Raw genomic sequence first — 23458 nt, 5'->3', positions numbered from 1 at the left:
TTGAAGGATGGTCTTTCGGCCTACATTTGCCCATGTGGAGAGGGAGAATTGTGGTGGCAGCCACATACTTCCCTGAGGAATGGGAGAGCCAAGTTGTGTCTGGCCATGAGTTTGGAAATAATGCCACGACAGAATGGGAAGTCATGTTCACTACTAGTGACTCACCCACATACTCTCGAAGACAGAGCCAAGCCCAAATTCAAGGTCCTGTCCTCCATAATGACACATGCTCAGAGAAGGGTGATTACAACCCTTCTGTCTATGCCTAATTCTCTTTTTCTTGTCTATAAGACTTCTCACAGGAGAATGAATCTTCTAAATCCTTAATGAATTTAAATTCTAGTTGGAGAGAAAAAATAAAGACACAGAAAAGAATTTCATAACAATGAAGTCATTATGTTATGAATTTAAAAGGCAGCACCACACAAGCCTTCAGGGAAAGGATGAATCGCATGGGTTGGGGACAGTTGCATGTGGAGTGGGGTGGTTGAGTACCTGGTCTAGATCTTGGACCAGTTGCTTAACTGCTTTGCACCTCAGTTTCCTCATCTGTAAAGGGAGAATAATGATAGAACCCGTTTCATTAGACAGATCTGAAACCAGTCAAGTATTTAACAGGAGATACCTATCATTTTTATTATGTTGGGGCTTTGTGGATGTGTAAGATTGGAAGAGAGGAAAGGAGAAGGTCTTTGAAACAGAGGATATAGGAGTGAGTGGAATGCCTGCAGACACCCATTGGGAAGCTGGCCTAAGAGGAGAGATGGTATGGTGGGGAGCTGCCCTTCAACAAACATTGCTCAGGCTTCCCTGAGATGCTGGAACACCATAGTGAGCAATGACACCCAGGGTTGATGCCCAACATTGGCTGGCCTAACTGGGAACAAGAACATGACCCTAAAACCAAGCCTACTTTAAGGCTTGCTCAGATTACGTTGGATGGTTTATGTGCAAAGGCCATGTAGAATTTTATCACTATTATTTATAAAGAAAAATAATTTGAGGGATAATAATAGATATGCTTATTTTAAATTATACCTAAAACTTATGAATCATAGCTCTTACTCATATGCAGTATACGGAATGCATCTATAGCCTACAATAGTTAAAGTACAATAATGTGAGTGCTTTATCAGTAAAACTTCAGAGAATTTAAAAAGCTCTGTGGTCTTACTCCCCCTACAGACACGCATGCACGTATGCACACACACTAAGCAAATGAGTTTGCCCTTTATCTTGTAGACAGTTGTGAGAAGGTGCCTGGGAAGGCGTACAGCATAATGAAAGTGATGTTTCAGAGGATTCTCCTGGCTGCAGTGTGCATGATGGCTTAGAAGGTGGAGTGAGATGGGGAGATCAGCAAGGAGGCTATGGCAATAAGTCAAGTTAACTAAATCCAGCACCTGTCTTTTTCTTATTTTCCCCTGATGTTGATGATACAGTGCAGAATTCAGCAATGCCTAATACCACAGAATGTACATTTCAATCCTTCATGCTCTTCCTGTGCCTGCCCTGTGTTCCATCTAGATTCTCTCGGCCCTCCTTGCCAGCTCAGCCTGCCATTTGGAGGCCTACTTCTTTATCCCCCACCTTTAGGGTAGAGTCACATAGAAACCCTTCCAACCCTGATAAAAATCCTCACATTTAAGAACCCCAGAAAAGAGCATATAGGGATGGCCGGGTGGGGCCATCTATGGAAGTATGCTCAACCAACATGACCACAACAGGAGTGCCCATCTCCTCAGGGCTTCCATGTGCCAAGTACGGTGATGAGAGCTTTATAGAAATCATCTCATTTAATCCCCACAACAAACCTAAGAAGTGGGTATCATATCTCCCCTATTGCCTTTTACAGACAAGGCAATCGAGGGGCTAAGCCACTCACTAAGGTTATGAAACTTAAAACTTAAAGCGAGGTTATGAAATTTAAAGCAAGGTGGAGGAGGACTTTGAGCCTGCACTCCCACCACTGAGCTTCCTGCCTCTCCGGGTCTTGTTGGAGTCCCTACCCCACTCTGGACCATTAGTTCAGAGGGTTCTTGAACAAAGGTAAGAACATTGAAGATACTTCACTTGGCCTTTCTGAGTCTCAGATTCCTTATTTATAAAATAAGGGGGCATGGACTAGCCATTTTGGAGCAATTAATTGTATTTAGACAATGAATCAGATGGACTCCAACAAAGCAGATACAGTCAGCCCTCTGTACCCTCGGGTTCCAAATTTGCAGATTCAACCAACTGCAGATCAAAAATATTTGGGGAAAAAACAATAAAAATAACACTCCAACAATAAAAAATAATACAAATTTTAAGAAATACAGTATATCCACTATTTACATAGAATTTACATTGTGTTAGGTATTATAAGCAATCTAGAGATGATTTAAAGTATATGAGAATGTATGTAGGTTATATGCAAATATGATGCATTTCATATAGGGGACCTGAGCATCCCAGGGCTTTGGTATCTGTGGTATCAATCCCTGGTGGATACAAAGGGATGACTGTAGAGGATTAGATGATCCCTGAATACTTTTCAGCTTGGACATTCTAGGAGCCTTTTCTTCAGCCTCTTGTTCCAATAATTCTCACTATCTTGCTGTGCCTTTGATCTAGTGTAAATCACCTTGCACGTTAACTCACCTATTTTAATGTGCAAATTCATCTCCCAGCAGCAGCGAGATGAATTCCGTGTGTGTGGGGGTGTGTGTATGTGTGTGCTTGTTGCCCGAGGGGAGTTGAGGGATCTAAATGAGCATCCAGAGCTGCTGAAGATAAGAAGCCCAAACATAAAGTTGGGGACAGATGTGACAATGGAGTGATGCTCAGGCTGAGCTGAATCAGCACATCTGGCAGGCAGCCACCCTCATTTAAAGCAGTTCCTTCCAACCCGCTGGTGACAGGAGCCCTGCTCCAGAACTGGGGAGATCTGAGGCTGGGGTGGCTGGCAGAGGTAATCGGCAGCCCACTGTTCCCTGCTTTGCCAGCACCCTAAGGCTCCCTCCTACCTAAGCCAGGGCTGAGCCTCAGAGCAGCCAAGAAAGCCTGATCCAGCCCCAGGGCAAAATCAGACCACAGGGCAGAATGTCTCCAGGGAGAACTCCTTCATCATTTTGCCTTTTTGAAATTGAGATCAAATTAGGAGTCTTATTAAAAGGAAATAAGTCATCCAGCAGCTTCAGGTCACAGAAGCCCAGTGCTTGGCTGGCATGTGGCCACCCACAGGGCCGGGAGCTGCTGGAGGAGGTGGTGGGCAACTGGATGTCCCGCTGGGCTAGCACTCCTCTTTCTAGGGCATCAGGGAGGGTAGGGGGATGCAGCTCTGGGGCTTTAGGAGAAAAGAACTAATGACATCCTGATGAATATATGATTGGAGCTACAGTCATTGCAATCAACAGGTTTTCCTGATTATAAACTGAGGACAAACTGCAAGTAACAGAGGAGTATCTGTTTGCAAAGAGGATTTTAGAGCATTGATCCTAGCACCTTCCACTTCACACTGGGTCCTGTTGATGCCCATGCACCCCTGGCCCCAGGCCCTGACAAGGAGCGCTGCTACCCTATCCCTGAGCCCTGAGTTGCTCTGAACCCCATCCCACCCAAGACCAGTGCTCTCAGGCCCTGCTGCCATGGGGTCATGTAAGAAGGCAGGCTTCTGGCTGGCAGCTGGCTCTTGGGGGATCTTCATGTTTGCCACCAGTCACAGGAGAGAGGGAAAGGTAAACAGAGCCAAATACATGCTTGCCTTCAGTGAGACGGAGGACCAAGGAAGATAAGCAGATCCGTGAGGGTGGGAGGGGGCAGATAATGGGCTCATGGTCATTTCTGTTCTCAAAAAGAGTCGCCATTAAGTAAATACTTTCTATCTGTCAGTCACCTATGCTAGGTACTTCATGTATATTATATCCAAACCACAGAAGGAGAGGTAGGTGTTGATGCTCCCATTTTATAGAGAGGAAACTGGGGCTCTGAGAAATGTGGTGACTTTTCTGCAGGTCACACTTAGTAAGGAGAGGAATGTTTTACATGCAGGAAGAGTTAAGAACACAGCTTGGGGTCAAATTCTGACTCCCCTGCTTCCTGGCTATGTGATCCTGGGTGGGAAAGTACTATTCTGTTTTTATCTTATTTACCTGTAAAGTGGAGATAATACCCACCTCACAGTCGTTATGAGGCTTATGTTAGGGCAGGATCTTCAAGTTTTGATAGGGTGCCTAGTGCAGAGCAAAGGCACAATGCACGGGGGGTGGGGGGGCGGGCATGGTGGCTCGCATCTGTAATCCCAGCACTTTGGGAGGCTGAGGCAGGTGGATCACTTGAGGTCAGGAGTTCGAGACCAGCCTGGTCAACATGGTGAAACACCATATTTCATAAAAATATGAAAATTTGGGATACGGACGCATGCCTGTAATCCCAGCTATGGGAAGCTGAGACATGAGAATCACTTGAACCTGGGAGGCAGAGGTTGCAGTGAGCTGAGATCACACCACTGCACTCCAGCCTGGCCGATAAAGTGAGGCTCTGTTTCAAAACAAACAAACAAACAAACAAACAATGCACAGGCAGGCTTTATTCTTTCTCTCTGCGTGTCTGCAGGATGCCAGTCTATGAGGACCAAAAGCTCATTCCCTGGGAAAGGGAGTCAGCTCTAAATGGGTTTTCTTCACCTCTGATTATTCTCTCCTGTAACGGAACCCTTGGAGAGCCTCTATTTTCAAGTTATTTAGAAAATGAGACCTCTTACTTAAAAAAAGTCATGTGGTATTAAATGTCTTCTTGTCCTCAGAATATTAGGTTAGTGCAAAAGAAATTGCAGTTTTTGTCATTACTTTTAATGGCAAAAACTGCAATTAGTTTTGCACCAACCTAATACTTCTTAGTCATACTTCCCCTCAGTTCTCCAAGCCAAGAAGCTCTTATTTGAACCTATCCTTAAAAAAGTGTTTACAATAGCAGCCCGTGACCTGTTGCAGCATCTCAGCCCCTTCCTATTGTTTCCTCTCAACTCTGAACCTCAGTCCCACCTTGCGGCGCACTGGAACCACCGTCCTCACGTCATGTATGAAGACAGTGAGCAGCTCTGGACTGTCTGTTACCTGCCACCTCTGCTGTGGCTTCAGGATGGTGATGGAGTTCCATCCCGGCCACATCCTCTTTAGGATGGAAAATCCCAGCTCCTCTGCTTGTTGAACCAGAAGACTCTGATTACCTGGAACAAGCCGTGTCTCCAAGGGTGGTGTCGGGGCTCCTGGCAAGTGGAGATGAGGCCTTCTGAAAGATGGCGCTGGTATTTTCCATGCTGCCTGGAAGGTCTGCATGGTAGCATGTGTTAGGGGTAACAAGTTTGGGGCGGTGGCGGGGGTGGATCCACACTGGAGAGGGAGAATACTAGCATGTGAAACATCTCTTCCCACCTGCGAGGAGACAGAGCTTCAGGTGCAGCAGACTCTCTTCCAAATTGGAGATGACTGCTCTCGGCAGGCACTCTGGAACAATAAACATAATAACGTAATTTGACATTCCCCACTCTTTGGGGAAGAGAATACACCTATCATAGCCATTTTCAAGAGCCAAGAAGGAGGGCAGCCATAGCAGGGGAAGGCGGGGCCTGAACTTCAAAGGAGACAGGGCTGGTGGTTATGAACACAAACAGCCTTTCCGTTTTCAAAGCTCCACGGAATTCTGTGAAAACAGCAACTTTTGCACCCTCTAATTTTCTTCTTTGTGCTCTGATTAGCATCGAGCCGTTCTCCCTTTGCAATTCAGTAGCCTCTTGAAGGGTGTTTGTTTGCATGATAGGACTGATGGGCAGGTCCTGGCTAGTGGCCTGTCACTTGCTTGCCACCCAGGGCGCCACCACAGAGTGCCCCAGTGAGCTCCCTCCAGCCATGCGCAGTACATCAATCTGAATGAGGGGCTCAGGCCATTGATTTTCTTCCACCGCCCACCCCCGTCACCAAATGCCAATTATTTATCTCCGTTTCAGAAACGAAGTTCTTAATTTAAGCCAACAGCTGCCTTACCTGTGAAGAACACTTTCTTTGGGTGTGTTGAATAACATCTCCCTGGAGGAGGAGGATTTCCTTTCCTACATGCTTCAGAGAATGGCCAGCTTGATTCCTTAAAGGACATGAGCTTCATCCTTTCCCAGACCCTTCAAACTTAACCCAAATGACGTCATAGTTGACACCCTCAATCTCAAGATAGAGTCTGGTAATCTCTTATATTTGCGTAGTACTTTATAATTCCCAAAGTGCCTTCACCTCCAAAACTTCATTTAACCTTTACAACAATGGAGGAGGTAGGTTGGGCAGGTATTAGTGTTTCCAGAAGCAGTAGCCAAAGCTCAGAGAGGTTAAGCAACTTGCCCAAAGTCACATGGCTGGCAGGGCAGGTAGCAGGGTACGACCAAAAGTCTTTGGAACTTTGGTCTGGGACTCCTGACATTCACTGTACCATGAAGACCCTGCCTCCTACTCTAAAATGATTCTGTGATTGTAAGGAGCCAGAGATAATGCCACTTATTGGACTTCTCACTTAGGGACTTGCAGTCCACAGGTGACCCTGGTTTAGAGTGACCCTGGGGCAACTGGAAGGGAGCGTTGCCTCTGGGGATGGGGTGAGAGTACAAGGTGGGTTAGGGAAATCAACACATTTGCATCAGTCAGGGTTCACTGTAGAAAGAGAAGCCTGTGCTTTGGCACCTTTAGCAGAGAACAATCTAACCCATGGAACAGGGTGCCTATAGCACCACCAGATGGGCTGGAGGAGGGTGCCAGAGGGACCCCCAGGAATGATTCCCAGAATGATTCACGCAGAGTTCTCCTAACAGGGGAGACACCACCTACCACTCACCCCACTGAATTTAACGGCACATGCAGTGGCTGCAGGCCAGGAGTCAGCTGCAGGCCACCAATGATGCCAATGCAACTCTCTCTCAGCACTCCACAGCTGGAAAAACGGAGCTGAAATGCTGCTACCAACAAATCTGATGTTTCTAGCATATTGCCAGCAGAAAATAGCAAAAGGGGTAGGAAGTGGCATTAGATTGGCCACTAGTTCCCATCTAGAATCGTTGCTACAAGGGAGTCTGGGCAATGTGGCTTTTTGTGAGATGGTTTCTAGCTTCTACAGAACAGGAAAGAACATTCAAAGGAGGGTACAATGGAAGTCGAGTAAGCCAGTGCACAGAGCCCACCACAGCAGCCAGCCTAATGCCCACTCTCTTGTTACCCGTGAAAACCTGAAATGCAAACACTCTAAAAATGAGTACTTGATTCTGAAGTGGATACATCAAAGGTCTTTATTAGCATAGGAACAACACACGGTGTGCATCTGTGTGTTCCCCAAATGCACACAAACCCTGTCTCTCTCAAGAATCACTGATGTATTTCATCGTAGAGTTGAGAATTTCTAGGCCATGAAGCTTTCTCAGTTGAGCAGCAAATCTGTCACAATCAAAACAAACAACCCAGGGCATAAGTGCCACGGTTCAGGCTTCTGGAGCCCAGAGCCAACACCCTCTCAGATGGAAGCTGGCTGAGAACGTCAGTCCTATCACTCTGGGTGGAAACAGGAAGTGGCTGTGGCATTGGGGTACCCTAAAGATCACAGGGGTAAGTAAGACCCTCAGGGAGGCCCACAAAGCACTGAAAACACTCGCTGCAGGTGGCAGGTGTGTCAGGCTGATCAGACAGGACCTTGCTCTCGAGAACTCCCCCATAGGTTGCCACTTTGAAGTCATCCTAGCTAATGTGCTTTCTTTCTATAGAAGAAAGATTTTAACTATTCCTTCCATTTGAACAACCAGACAGAACTTGAAAGGACCTTAGATATTATCAAGGCCAACCCCCTCAATCTACAGAGGAGGAATTAAAGGCATGTGGATGTAAGGGAAGGAGCCTCTCTCACTCAGCTCCCGGGGTTACCCTTGCTCTATGCCAGGGCTCCTTTGCTCAGCCACAGGTGGACACCTCCCAAAAGCACGTGCAATGAGATGCGTCTGCACATCAGAAGAGGAGCAGAGCAGAGTGGAGGTCTGAGCTAACAGAGAAGCCATGGGCACAGTTACAGCCCACATCTCTTGCCCTCGCTCACTGGGGACCTCGGCATGCTGTTCTGCGTCTCTCCTTCTCCACTGTTTTCTCCTGCATGAACATGTGACCCTTGCTGGCCGTTCCTCCATTTGTTTAGGCTGAGGCAAAGAACATGAAGTGGGGGGTCTGTTTCTGGAAAAGTGGAGAAGAGAGAAAAGAGGGAAGAGAAGGGGAGGTGGAGTGGGAGGGAGGGGAAGAAGGAGGATAAAGAGACAGGGAGAGGGATGCAAAACAGTGGAGAATGGAATGGAGAGAAGGCAACGGCAGCAAGTGGGAGCAGCACGTCCCTGTCAGACAAGCCGATTCCCTCTCTGGTTGGAGACCGAGAGCTCCCCAGTTTCCTCTAGAAAGGCTTTCTTCAGAGAAGCAGCTACTGGGCTTAACCTAGGTCTGCACAGAAAGCATGAGGGCTTCCCACACTGTTCTGTGTGGCATGCAGTCCCAGCCAAAACTCAGCACCTCAGCTCAGCTGCTCTTTCTGCAATAGGTCAGCCTGGCTCCGTGTCCACAGCATACCTGGGCTCAGCTGTGCACAGCTTCCCCAGAGCAATGCCTGCGTTCACCTGCACGGCCGTCTTCTGTGTGTCACTGCCTGCAAGCTTTAACAAGACCTGCAAAAGGTCCGTCTTTAGCAGGGAAGACGCAACGTTGGGCACCTCCATGCAGTTACCAAGGCAGAGGGCAGCGTTGCCCACCAGAACCTCATCCTCCGAGCTGAGCAGCTTCATCATAACGCTCAACTCTGCAGGGAAAGAAGAGAACAAGCAACAGCTCCTTTTAATCCCAAAATAGGAGGCTGGCAACAGGACATGAGGGGTGCAGGGAGATGTCAGCGGACACCGAGCTTCCCCAGTAACTCTGCAGCAGAACTTGTTCACTTACTCATCAGCAAACATTCACTGAATGCATATGAACCTCCTCAACTCCTTGCTGAACCTCTGAAGTATCTCCGCTTCCTAGAACAGTGCCCAGCACAACACAGTTGTTAGATGAATGAATGCTGTGTGTCAGACAGGTCTGTCTTCTTGAAAGCCTATTCTTAACCTCTCACTGCGCCAGGGTGAGAGGTCTTATCTGACAGCCCCCAGGTGGAGGCAATGTGCCAGCAACCTACACCTGCAGGGTATGCAACAGGATCCAGGAGAAAGGCTTGCCGCTTCCATGGTGGAGCCTCCTTCAGTTCACCTTCTGTGCATTCCAGGGAGTTGGTAAGAAGAACATTAGCAGGCTGCCTCTCCTGGGAAGCCTGCTGTGAATAACTACAGCCGGTTTAAGTTACTGGACTAAACCTAGGCTCAGACTCTGATATTTCCCTTGTTCACTAAACGTTGACGGTGTTTCCCCCTCTCCTTCTGTGAAGGCAGAGAACTGAACTTGGTGAGAGGAGGGAGTTTCCTAGCTTTGACCCTGTTATCTTTGAGCCATCTGTCAGCTGGGTCTCCAGCCTGGGCATTCTACCTGTGTGCATCCAAAAGGTTAATTAAATGCTTTCAGATCTGGATGTGAAACATCTTCTGTAAACATTGCTGAAGTCTGGGAGAGGTTAACAGCATTGCTGCTAAGTTCCTCCTCGACCACAGTTCCCTTTGCAGCTTCAAGGGTGGATGAACCTCTGGGACAAGGGCTCCCTTAAGGAAATCATCACTTACTTTTATCCAGTCTTATTACTTCTTCCCGAGCTTCATGATAACTATTCGTGCAGATAGCTAGTATCTTTATAGCATAACGTGATGCAGTCTCACCTCCTGTCTAGATTTCAGAATGAAATTAGAAAAATAAAATCAGTGCTATGATTGCTCTTGACCACAAACCACAGCAAGCAGTTATTATAGCGCTAGTGGCTTCCTAAACTCTGAAAAGAGAATTCTACTGAGAACGGCATGTGCTTCCTGGTGGGCAGGCATGGTCCCTGCTGGAACAGAGTGTCACCCGCATCCTCTCTAACCCAGCCCACACCCCTGACAGGAATGTAGGCCTGTCATGTACACCTGAGTAATTGCCTCCGGAAGGCTTTATGAGCAAGTGGCTGAGAAGAGAATGATGCTGATGAATGGCAGATCTACCAAAAAGGGAGGAAAAGGCCCTCCCATGTCATTTTCCCATTTGAGAACGAGGACTGACTTGCTAAGGCTGTCAGGCTGACAGTCCTGCATGAGGAACTTCAGGAACCTACATCATTTTAAGAGATGACAACTGTCAAACACAGCCCTTGCAATCACCCATGTGGGGTCTTTAAAAGGCATGTGTGCACGTATGCACGTGTGATGCATGGGTATGCATGCCATCAGGAGCTTTTGGTGGGTTTGCAAAAGTTATAATGAATGACAGTCATTGTTCAAGTGGCAATCTAAACTCAGACCCCCTGTGCTGCCCCCTCAGTGTCACCCCTGCCCTAGCAGCAGCCCGCAGAGCATGCTTCCCTGCGCCACTCAGCCTGATGCTTTATGAATAAAAGCCATGTGTCACCACACTAACATGGGTGTATGGACCTCATGGGCACACACATCATAGGTGGGATTCTGAGATGGCAGCCTAGTGTATTAATCCCCTTCGCCCTTGCAGGTGAATCCAGATAACTGCTCTACTGGCTTGCTTAGATTCACCACACTCATCTCACAGGGAAATCCCAACATCCTTTGGTCACATGGTAATTCTGCAGGCTACATGTCTCATAGATGGAGTTCCATCCAACACTCTCCAGATAACTGTATAAAGCATCATGAGTAGCAAAACCTGAGCAGAACAATGTGCCTGAGAAACGTTACAGAAAGCCACTCAGATCATTTTTATCAAGAACAGTGGCCATATATTTTTAAGTCAGGCTTGAGGGGTAAGCAGGTTTTATAGATGTATCTAATGAACAATTTTCTTATTTATTCAACAATCTGTTGTTGATGTTCAGAGTATGGTCTGGGTAGACAGGCAGAAGCAAATCCCTATCCAAGAAGTTTAAAATCTAGCAAGGAAGAAATGGCAGCACATTAACCAAACAAAGCCCACCTTAATTCTGTTCCCCGAATAAAATAGGAGACTTCTGTACATTTCAGGGGTTGTAACCAATAAAGTGATCTTACCTTCAGGAATTTCATCATTTTCTTTACCACTCCTGCTCGCAAGGCCTCCTCAACAATTTTCAGAGAGGAAGAAAGGGTCCGGCTCAGAACACCAGCAGCTCTCTGAGTACAGCAGAAAGAGGATAATTAAATGTCCTTTTCAGAAATGCTGACAACCTTTAAAAGCTAACGGGGAGTTTGGTGAGGCAAAAGCAATCATTATATTGGAAGCAAAATATAAAAAATATGATGGCCAAATAATAGAAAGCACTGTTCTTTTTAATAAAGCTGTCAAGGAGCTGTAATCATAGCCCCTTGCCACCCAGAGGCCCATATTATTTCAGCTTCACACAGGATCAACCAGTTCCACTCTGAGAAAGGAAGTTCTCCCTTGTGATTCCTCCCAGAGCTCTGATATCAGCAGGCCCTTTATAAGGAGATGTTTGATTTCCTGGATTGGTCTTCTGTGTCATTTATCTTTATCTTTTCGAATCTTTGTCTTTTGTTCTAGTTTCTGGGATAGTTCATTTACTTTATTTCCCGGCTCTTCTTTCTTTTTTTTTTTTTTTAAATAAATGCCAAGCTGTTACTCTTTTATGGATATAACTATCTTAAATCTTTCTCAGGATACAAATGATAGTTACTATTTTTTTCTTCTGTTTCCTATATCATCTCTATTTCTTTTGGATCAATTTTTATGTTTATCTTGGTTTTCCTATTTATGTGTGTAGCTTTCCTGCAATGTCTGGTTGACCCTTTACCTGCCCAATCACATGTATGAAAAAAGCAAGAAAATATGTTTGGGCATGCTATGTTTATGGGAAGTTTATCAGAAGTATGGAAAGATATAGAGGTGGCACCCCCGTATACTAGAAAGAAAAATGTTTTCTCCAGTTTTTCAGTTCTTTAGAGATAAAAGTGTTCTGATTTTATGCCTGGAGGATAGATGCCTGCCAGCAAACGCAGCTCCACTGCCTTGTACTTCTGCTCTCTGTTGTATCGGGAGTTTTGAAATCTTCATCCTCTCCAGGGTATTATAAGGCAAACCTGCTACTGCCCAGCTACGTGTTCCTCCATTTGTACTCCATACAAAGGTTTCCTCAGCCCTGCCTCATTAATTACCACCCTTGCAGCTGTTCTCCATCTTCAGGAAACTTGTTAAAATTACTTACCTATTGGTAACCATTGCCTGTTCACTGTCAACGTAGGTCTCTACTTTTTTTGTTCCCCCCCAATGGCTTTAATCTCATTTTAATGAGGTCTCCAGAGGGAGAAAAGATAAACTTGTGTATTATCAATCTTGTTTCCCTAATCTGCTTCCTAAAGATCCTAGAATTTTGCTATAGTTGACACCACGGATCCCCTTTCAGGCCCAAGACAGTGGAGACTGTGCTAGACAAGGACCAGATGCCCATGGTGAAGCTGCTGCTCTGCTCAGCAAGCTGGGAAGCACCCAACGTGGCACACAAGGAATGCTGGGGAAATCTGGCCCAAGAGCTCTCCTAAAGGTTTACTCAGGCACTAGTGTAGGCTCACCTTTAGGTCTGGACCATCCGGAAACGGTGGTGCTTACCACTTTGGGGGTCATAGACCTCTTTTGAGGATCTGATGAAAGCTACGATGCCCCGTCTGTGAAAATGCACACGCACAAAACCTTTGCCCTATCCTGTCTGAATTGACTTTGGGGACGTTTAAAGAGTGCTACCCCCAAACAGGGTATGTTGGATCTACTCAGAACATTTTTTAAACTGTGGAGGCAGTCCTCAGTCTGCAACCCTTGAAAGGCTGGTTTCCCAGACCCACCCTAGATGTGGCCCTAATTGCTTCCCTAGCCATTAGGGTCCTGCCCTGACAGGGAGAAAAACGGGTGATCACTTAATGTGAGTGAAGAATACGTTCTAGGGTGATGGCAAATAGCCTCTTGAATCATACTAATATTCTTCTCCTGATGCACTGTGCTAACATATAGGCCTTTCTCAGTTTTCTTATTCAAATGTCAGACACAGAATTGAGAAAGCCATTTCAGCATATATTTTAAAAAGAGGGTAAAACTATTATGCACAAACAACCTCTAGGATCACTGGCTTAAAATATGGGCTTGGCTTTTTTTTTTTCTTATGGAAAAAAGGGATTCTAAATAAGTTGGACACTTGATCTGTCCAATTTGCACAGGATATTTTGAAATAGGACAGATCGGATCGATTATATCATCTAAGCTGGTTAAATTTCAGACCATACGGAAGGGGGATTCTTAAGTTGGGTTCCTGGACTCTAGGGGATCCACAGATGACGGACACAGCAAGGAGGTCACCAAATCTCTGAAACTGTAGACAAAACCTGGTATTTATGTGCTTGTGTACATTATTCTGAATAGTATATCCACACCATATCTCAGAGTCAGCAGATTCTCAAAGGTGGCAACTTCAAAAAGATTACACTGATAATAAAACAAAACAAAACAAAACAAAACAAGAACAATGGAAGCTGCTTCTGGATTTCCCTGGGAGAAACTTACTGTCAGGATTCCTCCATCCTGGCTGTTTAGTAAAGACAGGCACCTTCTGCTCACCTCCACAGCCCAAACCTACAACAATGGGGAGAGGCCAGCAGGAGATTTTAATTTTCTGACAATCTGAATTCTCAGCGGAGCTTCTTCTGAGCACCGTCTCCTTTTTAGCACCACCACACTATGCCCAGGTTCCCTCACAACACCATCTTTTACTGCTTTTATTCCTCCCCATGTCTGTCTCCCCTAACTCCAGGGCATTACCCTGATAGCAGGAACCGCCTTTTATTTGACTTTGTAAATGCAGCACCTCATACTCTGCTCAGCACACCTTGGATACCCAGTCTGTTTTCTGAGTGAATACATGACTGAGTGGTGATCCATCCATCCCTCAGCAGAGCAAAGGGAGAGCGCATCCCTCCAGCCTTTTCCCATTCCACGGCCAGTGTGTGAGTGTACATGCTTCTGTCTCTTCGTGAACATGAGAATGGTTTTATGCCACAGAATGTGTACAGGTTGTCCCAGGGCTCCAGGCAGGGAGACAAGAATGCCATACCTCAGAGACAAAGGGAGCCTGAAGACACAGGTTCATCATGAGTCCCAGGAGTGTGTAGATAACCTCTCTGAACAGGTCCACATCCTCCTCACACCTGGCCTTGGGAAACAAAACAAGGTAACCAATGACCTTTTTGCCTTACAGCTTTTTATGGTCATCTTTTCCCTTGGACAAGGGTCTCAGAGTTCCCCACACTCCCTAAATTGCCAATGTCATGAACCTAAATGATGGTGGAGGATCAGAGACCAGTTCTATGAGTTAGTGTTGGTCCAGGAGACTTGGAAGGAGTCTCTGGTGCCTCTGCCATGGGACTATGGCTGAGGTTGGTCCTGGGTTTAAAGTGAAGAGTCAGCTGCTGAGACGGGTGATCATTCAACTCCACCAGAAAAATCCTTCAAATCAGGATCAGGCAAGATGGCTAACTAGATACAGCCAGGTGGAACAGCTCCCACTGAGGGACAGAGATGACTGACATGCTCCTAATAGATCTTCAAAGGGAAGGCACTGAGAGTAGATGAAGGGAAGATGCAGAAGCAGGGCAGAAAGGGAGTAACTGGGAATGCTGCATGCAAGCCTATGTACCAAGGCTTGTTCTTGGTCCCCAAAGGCTCTTGGGGAATGGGTGAGTTGAACTGGCAAAGAGCAACCTGATCTCATCATAGGCCTCTGGAACCCTGGCAGGAGAAATCCCCTTGACCAGCACAGACACTCATCGAGTTGTCAGGGAGAGCTGCTTAGAGAAGTGGTAGGGGTGGCAAGCCAGTTGATGTGGAGCCCAGAGGGTTGGGCGTAGAAGTGTCTGTAGTGGAGAATGGCCAGGGACAGCCATCCCCACTAGGCTCAACTTGCTCCCACAGGAGACTTTAGCCCTCGGGGAATCATCAGACCTGAACTCTGCAGGGTGGTCTTGCCCATCAAACAGGGCCAGTCCAACTTGAGGACCCCTTGCTCTGCTGGCCTCTCCTGGGGCCCCAGCCAGGCCACACCTGCTTGCTGAGCAGTCTTGGGGGCTCTGGGGGCCCACACCATAGCTTCTGCACTGGCAGACCATGCCTGACCAGTGGAGAGCACCAGCAGAGTACCCCATCACCATGCACCAGCCCACATGCTCCCTCCCCACACTGCAGCTTCCCCTGGGCCCAGGGCAACTCCCCACATCACTTTGCTGGTGAGTGTCTGATCAGGCAGGTTTTGCTTTCCTTGCCCTGCCAGAGCACGGGAGTGCAGTCCTGCCCCTCCTCTTCCCACTGATCACCATTGCAGATGGAGTCTTGATGGGCACAGCTAGCCCCACCCCTACCAGCACCTTCCCCTTGCCCTTGTGCTAGCATGGCATAGAGTATAGCAGATCCTTCTCCCCCTAGGAGCAACCTCCTCTGCTTGTGAGGCACAGAGAAGGCACAATCTTCAGCATGACCACACACACAGTCATCAGCAGGGACCCTCTCCCCCAGCTGCGTTGCCTCTGCCATTGTGGCAAACACCCGCAGGGAGGCAGGCACCCTGACACCTGCTAGCACTCTGCCACAGGTCTTCTGCTGCTGTTGGCATGAGTGAACAAGTTAAGGTCCCATTGTCACCACATTATGAAATTCTTGGGCTAACAACACCCATTGGAGTGTAGTGACCAGAGGTTCGGGATCACCTTGGCTCCCCCAGTAAAGTGTATTCTTAACCTAGAGAAGCCAGAAAACAAAGTTGAGGCCCAATACAAGTCCCTCAGAGTTAGAGCATCCAGTCCAGAAGTTGGGAGCTGAATATTGACCTCCTAAAATCTTCTAGAAATAAAGCCAGTCAGCTGAAGCCACCTTATACCACAATAAAACCCTCAAGGTCGTCAAATAAGATAAAAGAAAAAAAATTTATCCAAAGGTCAGCAATCTCAAAGATTGACAGTAGAGAAATCAACAAAGATAAGAAAGAATCCACATGATAAACCTGATAATTCAAAAAGCCAGAATGCCTTCTTTCCTCCAAACAACCATAACACCCCTCCAGAAAGGGGTCTAAACCAGGCTGACATGGCTGAAATGACACAAATAGAATTCAGAATATGAATAGGAATGAAGTTCATTGAGCTACAGGAGTACGTTGAAACCCACACCAAGAAAGCCAAAAATCATAATGAAACAATGAAGGAGCTGACAGAGAAAATGGTCAGTACAGAAAAGAACATAACCAACCTGATAGAGCTGAAAAACCACACTACAAGAATTTCATAATGTAATCACAAGTGTTAATACCAGAATAGACCCATCAGAGGAAATAATCTCAGAGCTTGAACACAGGCTTTCTGAAATAAGACAGTCAGACAAGAATAGATAAAAAAAGAATAAAAAGGAATGAGAAAAACCTCTGAGGAATATAGAATTATGTAAAGAGCCCCAATCTACATCTAATCGGTGTCCCTGAAAGAGATGAGGAGAATGGAACCAATTTGGAAAACATATTTCAGGATATCATCCATGAGAACTTCCCCAACCTAGCTAGAGAGGCCAACATTCAAATTCAGGAAATGCAGAGAACCCCAGTAAGATACTTCATAAGATCACCCCCAAGACACATAATCATCAAATTCTCCAAGGTCAAAATGAAAGAAAAAATATTAAAGGCAACTAGAGAGAAAGGTCAGGTCACTTACAAAGGAAAGCCCATCAGACTAACAGCAGACCTCTCAGCAGAAACTCTACAACCCAGAAGAGACTGGAGGCCAATATTCAACATCATTATAGAAAATAAATTCCAACCCAGAATTTCATTTCTGGCCAAATTAAACTTCATAAGTAAAGGAGAAATAAGCAAATGGTGAGGAAATTCATTATCACCAGACCTGTCATACCAGAGCTCCTGAAGAAAGCACTAAATATGGAAAGGAAAGACCATTACCAGCTTCTACAAACACACACTGAAGTACACAGACCAGCATTACTATAAAGCAACCACATAAATAAGTCAGCAAAATAACCATCTAATATCACGATGATGGGATCAAATCCACACATAGCAATACTAACCTTGAATGTAAATGAGCCAAATTGAGCCAAATGTCCCAAGACACAGAGTGGCAAGCTGGACAAAGAACCACGATCCACTGGTATGCTGTCTTCAAGAGACCCATCCAACAAGCAATGACACACATAGGCAAAATAACAGGATGGAGAAAAATCTACTAAGCAAATGGAAAACAGAAAAAAAGCAGGCGTTGCAATCCTAGTTTTAGATGAAACAGGCTTTAAACCAACAAAGACCAAAAAAGACAAAGAAGGGATTACACATATTGGTAAAGGGTTCAGTTCAACAAGAAGATCTAACTATCCTAAATATTTATGCACCAAACACAGAAACATCCAGATTCATAAAGCAAGTTCTTAGAGACCTTCAAAGAGACTTAGTCTGACACACAATAATAGCAGGAGACTTTATCACCCCACTGACAATATCAGATCACTGAGATAGAAAATCAACAAAGATACTCAGGACCTGAACTTAGCACTGGATCAAATGGGCCTGATGTACATACACAGATTTCTCCAAATGAAAACAACAGAACATACATTTTTCTCATCGCCACATAGTGCATACTCTAAAATCAATCATATTTGGAAGTAAAATAGTCCTTAGCAAATGCAAAATAACTGAAATCTTAACACTCAATTTGGAAATTAAGACTAAGAAATGAACTCAAAACTATATAATTAAATGGAAATTGAATAACTTGATCCAGAATCACTTTAGGGCAAATAAACCAATTAAGGCAGAAATCAAGAAGTTCTTTAAAACTAATGTGAACAAAGATACAACATACCAGAATCTCTGGGACATAGGTAAGGTAGTGTTAAGAGGGAAATCTATAGCACTAAATGCCCTAACAGATATTTCTAACTAAAAAGTTAGAAATATCTCATGTTAACAACCTACCACCACAACTAAAGCAACTAGAGAACTAAGAGCAAACAAATCCCAAAGCTAGCAGAAGACAAGAAATAACCAAAATCAGAGCTGAACTGAAGGAGACTGAGACATAAAAACCTATTCAAAAGATCAATAAATCCTAAAGCTGGTTTCTTGAAAAATTAATAAAATAGACCATTAGTTAGACTAAAAAAGAAGGAAAGAGAGAATATGCAAATAGACACAATCAGAAACAACAGGGGGGATATCACCACTGACCCCACAGAAATACAAACAACCATCAGAGAATATTATGAACACCTCTATGCACATAAACTAGAAAATCTAGAAGAAATGAATAAATTTCTGGACACATACACCATCCAAAGGCTGAACCAGGAAAAAAATTGAATCCCTGAACAAACCAATAATGAGCTCTGAAATTAAGTCAGTAATAAAGAGCCTACCAATCAAAAAAAGCCCAGGACCAGCTAGATTCACAGCTGATTTCTACCAGATGTACAAAGAAGAAGTGGTACTATTCCTGCTAAAACTATTCCAAAATATCAAGGAAGAGGGACTCCTTCCTAACTCATTCTGTGAGACCAGCATCATCCTGATTCCCAAACCTGGCAGAGACACACACAAAACAGAAAACTTCAGGCCAGTATCCTTGATTAAGATTCATGCAAATATCCTCAACAAAATACTGGCAAACTGAATCTAGCAGCACATCAAAAAGCTCATCCATCACAATGATGTAGACTATCTCTGGGATGCAAGGTTGGTTCAACATACACAAATAGATAAATGTGATTCATCACAAATAGAACTAAGAACAAAAACCATGTGATTATCTCAATAGATACAGAAAAGGCTTTTGATAAAATTCAACACCTCTTCATGTTAAAAACTCTCAATAAACTACATACTAAAGGAATATACCTCAAAGTAATAAGAGCCATCTATGACAGACCCATGGCCAACATCATACTAAATGGGCAAAAGCTGGAAGCACTCCCCTTGAAAACCAGCACAAGATAAGGATGCCCTCTCCCACCACTCCTATTCAACATAGCATTAGAAGTCCTGGCCATGGCAATCAGGCAAGAGAGAAAATAAAGGGCATCTATATAGGAAGAGAAAAAGTCAAACTACCTCTGTTTGTAGACGACATGATCCTGTATCTAGAAAAAATCACAGTCTTGGCCCAAAAGCTCCTGAAGCTAATTAACAACTTCAGCAATGTCTCAGGATACAAAATCAACATATAAAAGTCACTAGCATTCTTATACACCAACATCAGTCAAACCAAGAGCCAAATGAGAAACGCAATCTCATTTATAATTGCCACCAAAAGAAAATACTTAGGAATAGAGCTAACCAGGAAAGTGAAAGAGATCTCCACAAGAAGAACTACAAAACACAGTTCAAAGAAATCAGAGATAACACAAACAAATGGAAAAACATTCTGTGCTCATGGACAGGAAGAATCAATATTGTTAAAATGGCCATACTGCCTAAAGTAATATATAGATTCAATGCAATTCCTACTAAACTACCATTGACATTCTTCACAGAACTAGAAAAAACTATTTTAAAATTCGTATGGAACCAAAAAGAAGCCTGAATAGCCAAGGCAATCCTAAGCAAAAAGAACAAAGCTGGAGGCATCACGTTACCTGACTTCAAACTATACTACAGGGCTACAGTAACCAAAACACATGGTACTGGTATAAAAACAGACACATGGACCAATGGAACAGAATAAAGAACGCAGAAATAAGACCGCATACCTAAAACTATCTGATCTTCAATAAACCTGATAAAAACAAGCAATGGGGAAAGGATTCCCTATTCAATAAATGATGCTGGGGAAACTGGCTAGTCATATGCAGAAGATTGAAACTGGACCCCTTCCTTTCACAATATACAAATATTAACTCAAGATGGAATAAAGACTTAAATGTAAAATCCAAAACTATAAAAACCCTGGAAGATAACCTAGGCAATACCATTCTACACACAGGAACGAGCAAAGATTTCATGACAAAGACACCAAAAGCAATCGCAACCAAAGCAAAAACTGACAAATGAGATCTAATTAAAGAGCTTCTGCACAGCAAAGGAAATTATCAACAGAGTGAACAGACAACCTATAGAATGGGAGAAAGTTTTTGCAAACTATGCATCTGACAAGGGTCTAATATCCAGCATCTATAAAGAACTTAAAAAAATTTACAAGAGAAAAATAAACTACCCCATTAAAAAGTGGGCAAAGGACATGAAGAGACACTTTTCAAAAGACATACATATGGCCAATAAGCACATGAAAAAAAGCTCAATATCACTGATATCATTAGTGAAATGCAAATCAAAACCACAAGATACCATCTCACACAAGTCAGAATGGCAATTATTAAAAAGTCAAAAAATAACAGATGCTGGCAAGGCTGTAGAGAAAAAGGTACACTTATACACTGTTGGTCGGAGTGTGAAGTAGTTCAACCATTGTGGAAGACAGTGTGGCTATTCCTCAAAGACCTAAAACAGAGATACCATTTGACACAGAGATACCATTTGACCCAGCAATCCCATTAATGGGTATATACCCAAAGGAATAGAAATCTTTTTATTATAAGGACACATGCACATATATGTTCACTGCAGCACTATTCACAATAGCAAAGACATGGAATCAACCTAAATGCCCATCAATGATAGACTGGATAAAGAAAATGTGGTACATATACACCACGGAATACCACAGAGCCATAAAAAAGAAAGAGATTATGTCCTTTGCAGAAACATGGGTGGAGCTAGAGGCTATTATCCTTTGCAGATTAATGCAGGAACAGAACACTAAGTGCCACATGTTCTTCCTTGTAAGTGGGAGCTAAAAGATGAGAACACGTGGTCATATAGAGGGGAACAACACACACTGGGGCCTGCCAGAAGGGAGGAAGGGGGAGAGGATGAGGAAAAATAAATAATAGGTACTAGGCTTAATACCTGGGTAACGAAATAATCTGTACAACAAACCCCCATGACACAAGTTTACTTATATAAGAAACCTAGACATGTACCCCTGAATTTAAAAGTTAAATAATAAATAAATAAATAAATAAATAATTTTTAAAAATTAAAAAAAATCCTTCAAATCTCCCCAGGGCAAATGAGACTTGATCTGCAGGGCTCTTTAAGGCCAGCAGTGCATAAAATCCGTGGTTACAGAAGGGATAAGCCAACTGGCGCCATCCAACACCCACAGAAACAGAATTTTTGGAAAAGTCAGATAACTAAGAAGACGCTAATGCCCCCAAAGAGGATAAAGACCAATTTTGAATAGAAAAGCTAACATACCAGGAGGCTCAAGCAGCCATCCCCAAATTCCTCACAGGCCGCCATGTGTCTTCGGGTAGTGGGCTCAGCACTGAGGTTTCCCATGATGGCAATGCACTGGCACAGAGCCGAGGAGCTGCTTACCTTGGGATCTGTCTTCTAAATGAGAATTGAGAGAAGGCAGAGCCTCAGAGAGCAGGCAAAGGATGCCGCATGATCTCTAGGTGCATCCCTCACTCACCAAAAGGCCCACGAACCAACCAGATAGCTTCATGTCACACAGGGGCATCCCTGGGGTCTCACTGGCAACGGATGGAGGCACATAGAGGGGTAAACCCAAAAGGGTCTTGGCCTAGGGCTTAATCCCAGCTCCTCCACCAACCAGCTGGAGGGACCTGGGCAAATCCCTTCCCTTCTCAGAGGCTCCATTTCCATAGCTGTGACATACTGAGGTGTGGTTATGCTCTCTAAGGGCCCCTGAAACTTCTAAGGTTCATAAGGGATAGGCTCCAGTTGCAACACACTCTCCAAGGAGAAGCCCTGCCCCCCACACTATTCACTGCCTTATCAGCTCAAATTGCTACACTGGTCTTCCTGACAGGATGACTTCCATCTGGGAATAGGGTTGCACGTCGTACTTAGTGTCAGCAGGGGACTGATGGAGACTGACGAACTCTATCCACCTTCACTTAAGATGCCACCCATATCCAGCTTTTCCTCCCCTGTAACCAGCGCCATCCATATGCCACCTCCACCTGTCCCTCCTGTAGCTGTTTCAATAACTGAGAATTGTGTAAATTCCAGCTGTGAATAAATGACTAATCAACCGAGAGACAATAGTTGTTCTGGATTGTAAATTGTGTTTAAACAGCCCCATTCACGCTCCTGAGAGTGTCTGTTACAGAGGATGAAAATGACAGTTTGCTCACCAGAACGCCTGTGAGTGCAGGGAGAACACCTGGAAGGTTGGCCTGGAACCAGACTTGGAATCTGTTGAGAAACCATCAGCCAGGATTTATTTTTACATTGCATAAACTATAACATAAATACAGTGTCTCAGATAGTTAATGTTGCAAACTCTAGGTCCATATGATTTAGAGTGTGCATGGACAATTCAGAACCAAAAAAAGAAAAAAGCATGTCACTGTGTATGTAATGTGGCTCTAATTTTTCTGAGTCTGGAGAATTGCCTTTGATGTTAAACAACAGATCTCAGATGGTGGCTCCCTTAAGCAGGAGCTACTGGAATCTCTAGGCTTCTGCCAAGCTGACTTACCCCCAACCCCTGCTCTGAGTCTACAGCGTGTGTGTGCGGTGCGGAAGGCAAATACCATGCAAGCATGTTTACCCATCGGAGCCACTGGGAGGGCCTGGATGCATGCGCATCTCCACACTCTATGGCCACTGTTCCATACCCCGGCCCGTGCCAGCTGGCTGGCCTGCCTGTGAGCTCTCTCATCCTATTATCATCTCTAAGCAAGGTGTCCTAAAATTTGTGAGGAAATTTAAAACACAAGATGCACTTTAAAAAAAAGCAACTGAAAAATTATGAAAACTAAGACCCTTACTATCATCCCCAGCAGCTAGACAAAACAAAACAAAACAACACAAAGCCATGGGGCAGAAGGAGGTCATTACTCATAATGTCACTGGCAACCCCAGAGGAGGCTGCAGTTGACTGTTCATTCTTGCTTGCTGGCTCGCTGGCTCGCTCAGGTTCATTCAACGCAAATTTGCTGGGCAGCTCCTATGTACCAGGCACTGATTAGGAGGGAGGAAGGTTCCTGACACTTGGGAGGCTTGCCTACTGTGAGAGGCACTGCTTTAAGTATGCTGCTGCTTCCAAACCCATGGAGGCCCGGGTCAGCCTCTATGCAGAGTGACTAGAATGGGAGTGGGTGGCTGCAGCCCCCTGGGAGGCATCAGCCCTCCTACTCAGTGAATCTTGCAATACTCACTTGGAGACTTGGCCTAGCCTCTCTGAATACAGCACATTTTTAAAGATCAGACAGTT

The 23458-nt window shown here is 44.8% G+C and overlaps 1 protein-coding gene across 9 annotated transcripts in view; it reads right to left on the bottom strand.

Moving 5' to 3' along the window:
* Positions 1–375: 375 nt before the first annotated feature.
* The window catches only part of TTC12 (tetratricopeptide repeat domain 12), a 58715-nt gene continuing 35632 nt past the window's right edge, over positions 376–23458 (bottom strand). For 7 of the 9 annotated variants that reach the window (NR_165392.1, NM_001378064.1, NM_001378065.1 and 4 more), the window contains 8 exons: positions 22374–22434; positions 21466–21603; positions 14212–14310; positions 13665–13733; positions 11171–11272; positions 9746–9845; positions 8613–8838; positions 7286–7448 (listed from right to left, as the gene is read on the bottom strand). Coding sequence is in view for 6 of the 9 variants with exons in the window: in NM_001378064.1 (NP_001364993.1) it covers positions 7373–7448; positions 8613–8838; positions 9746–9845; positions 11171–11272; positions 13665–13733; positions 14212–14310; positions 21466–21603; positions 22374–22434 (871 nt within the window). In the remaining 3 variants the exon portion in view is untranslated. Of the gene's footprint in view, positions 550–4550; positions 5487–7285; positions 7449–8612; positions 8839–9745; positions 9846–11170; positions 11273–13664; positions 13734–14211; positions 14311–21465; positions 21604–22373; positions 22435–23458 lie in introns of those variants that run through there. The other 2 variants (NR_147891.2, NR_165393.1) reach the window with 2 other exon arrangements.

The sequence above is a fragment of the Homo sapiens genome, chromosome 11 (genome assembly GCF_000001405.40).
Source record: "Homo sapiens chromosome 11, GRCh38.p14 Primary Assembly".
In the NCBI taxonomy this organism is placed as follows: Eukaryota; Metazoa; Chordata; class Mammalia; order Primates; family Hominidae; genus Homo; species Homo sapiens.
The sequence above is the reverse complement of the archived record's forward strand: the minus strand, read 5'-3'. Positions and strand labels throughout refer to the sequence as shown.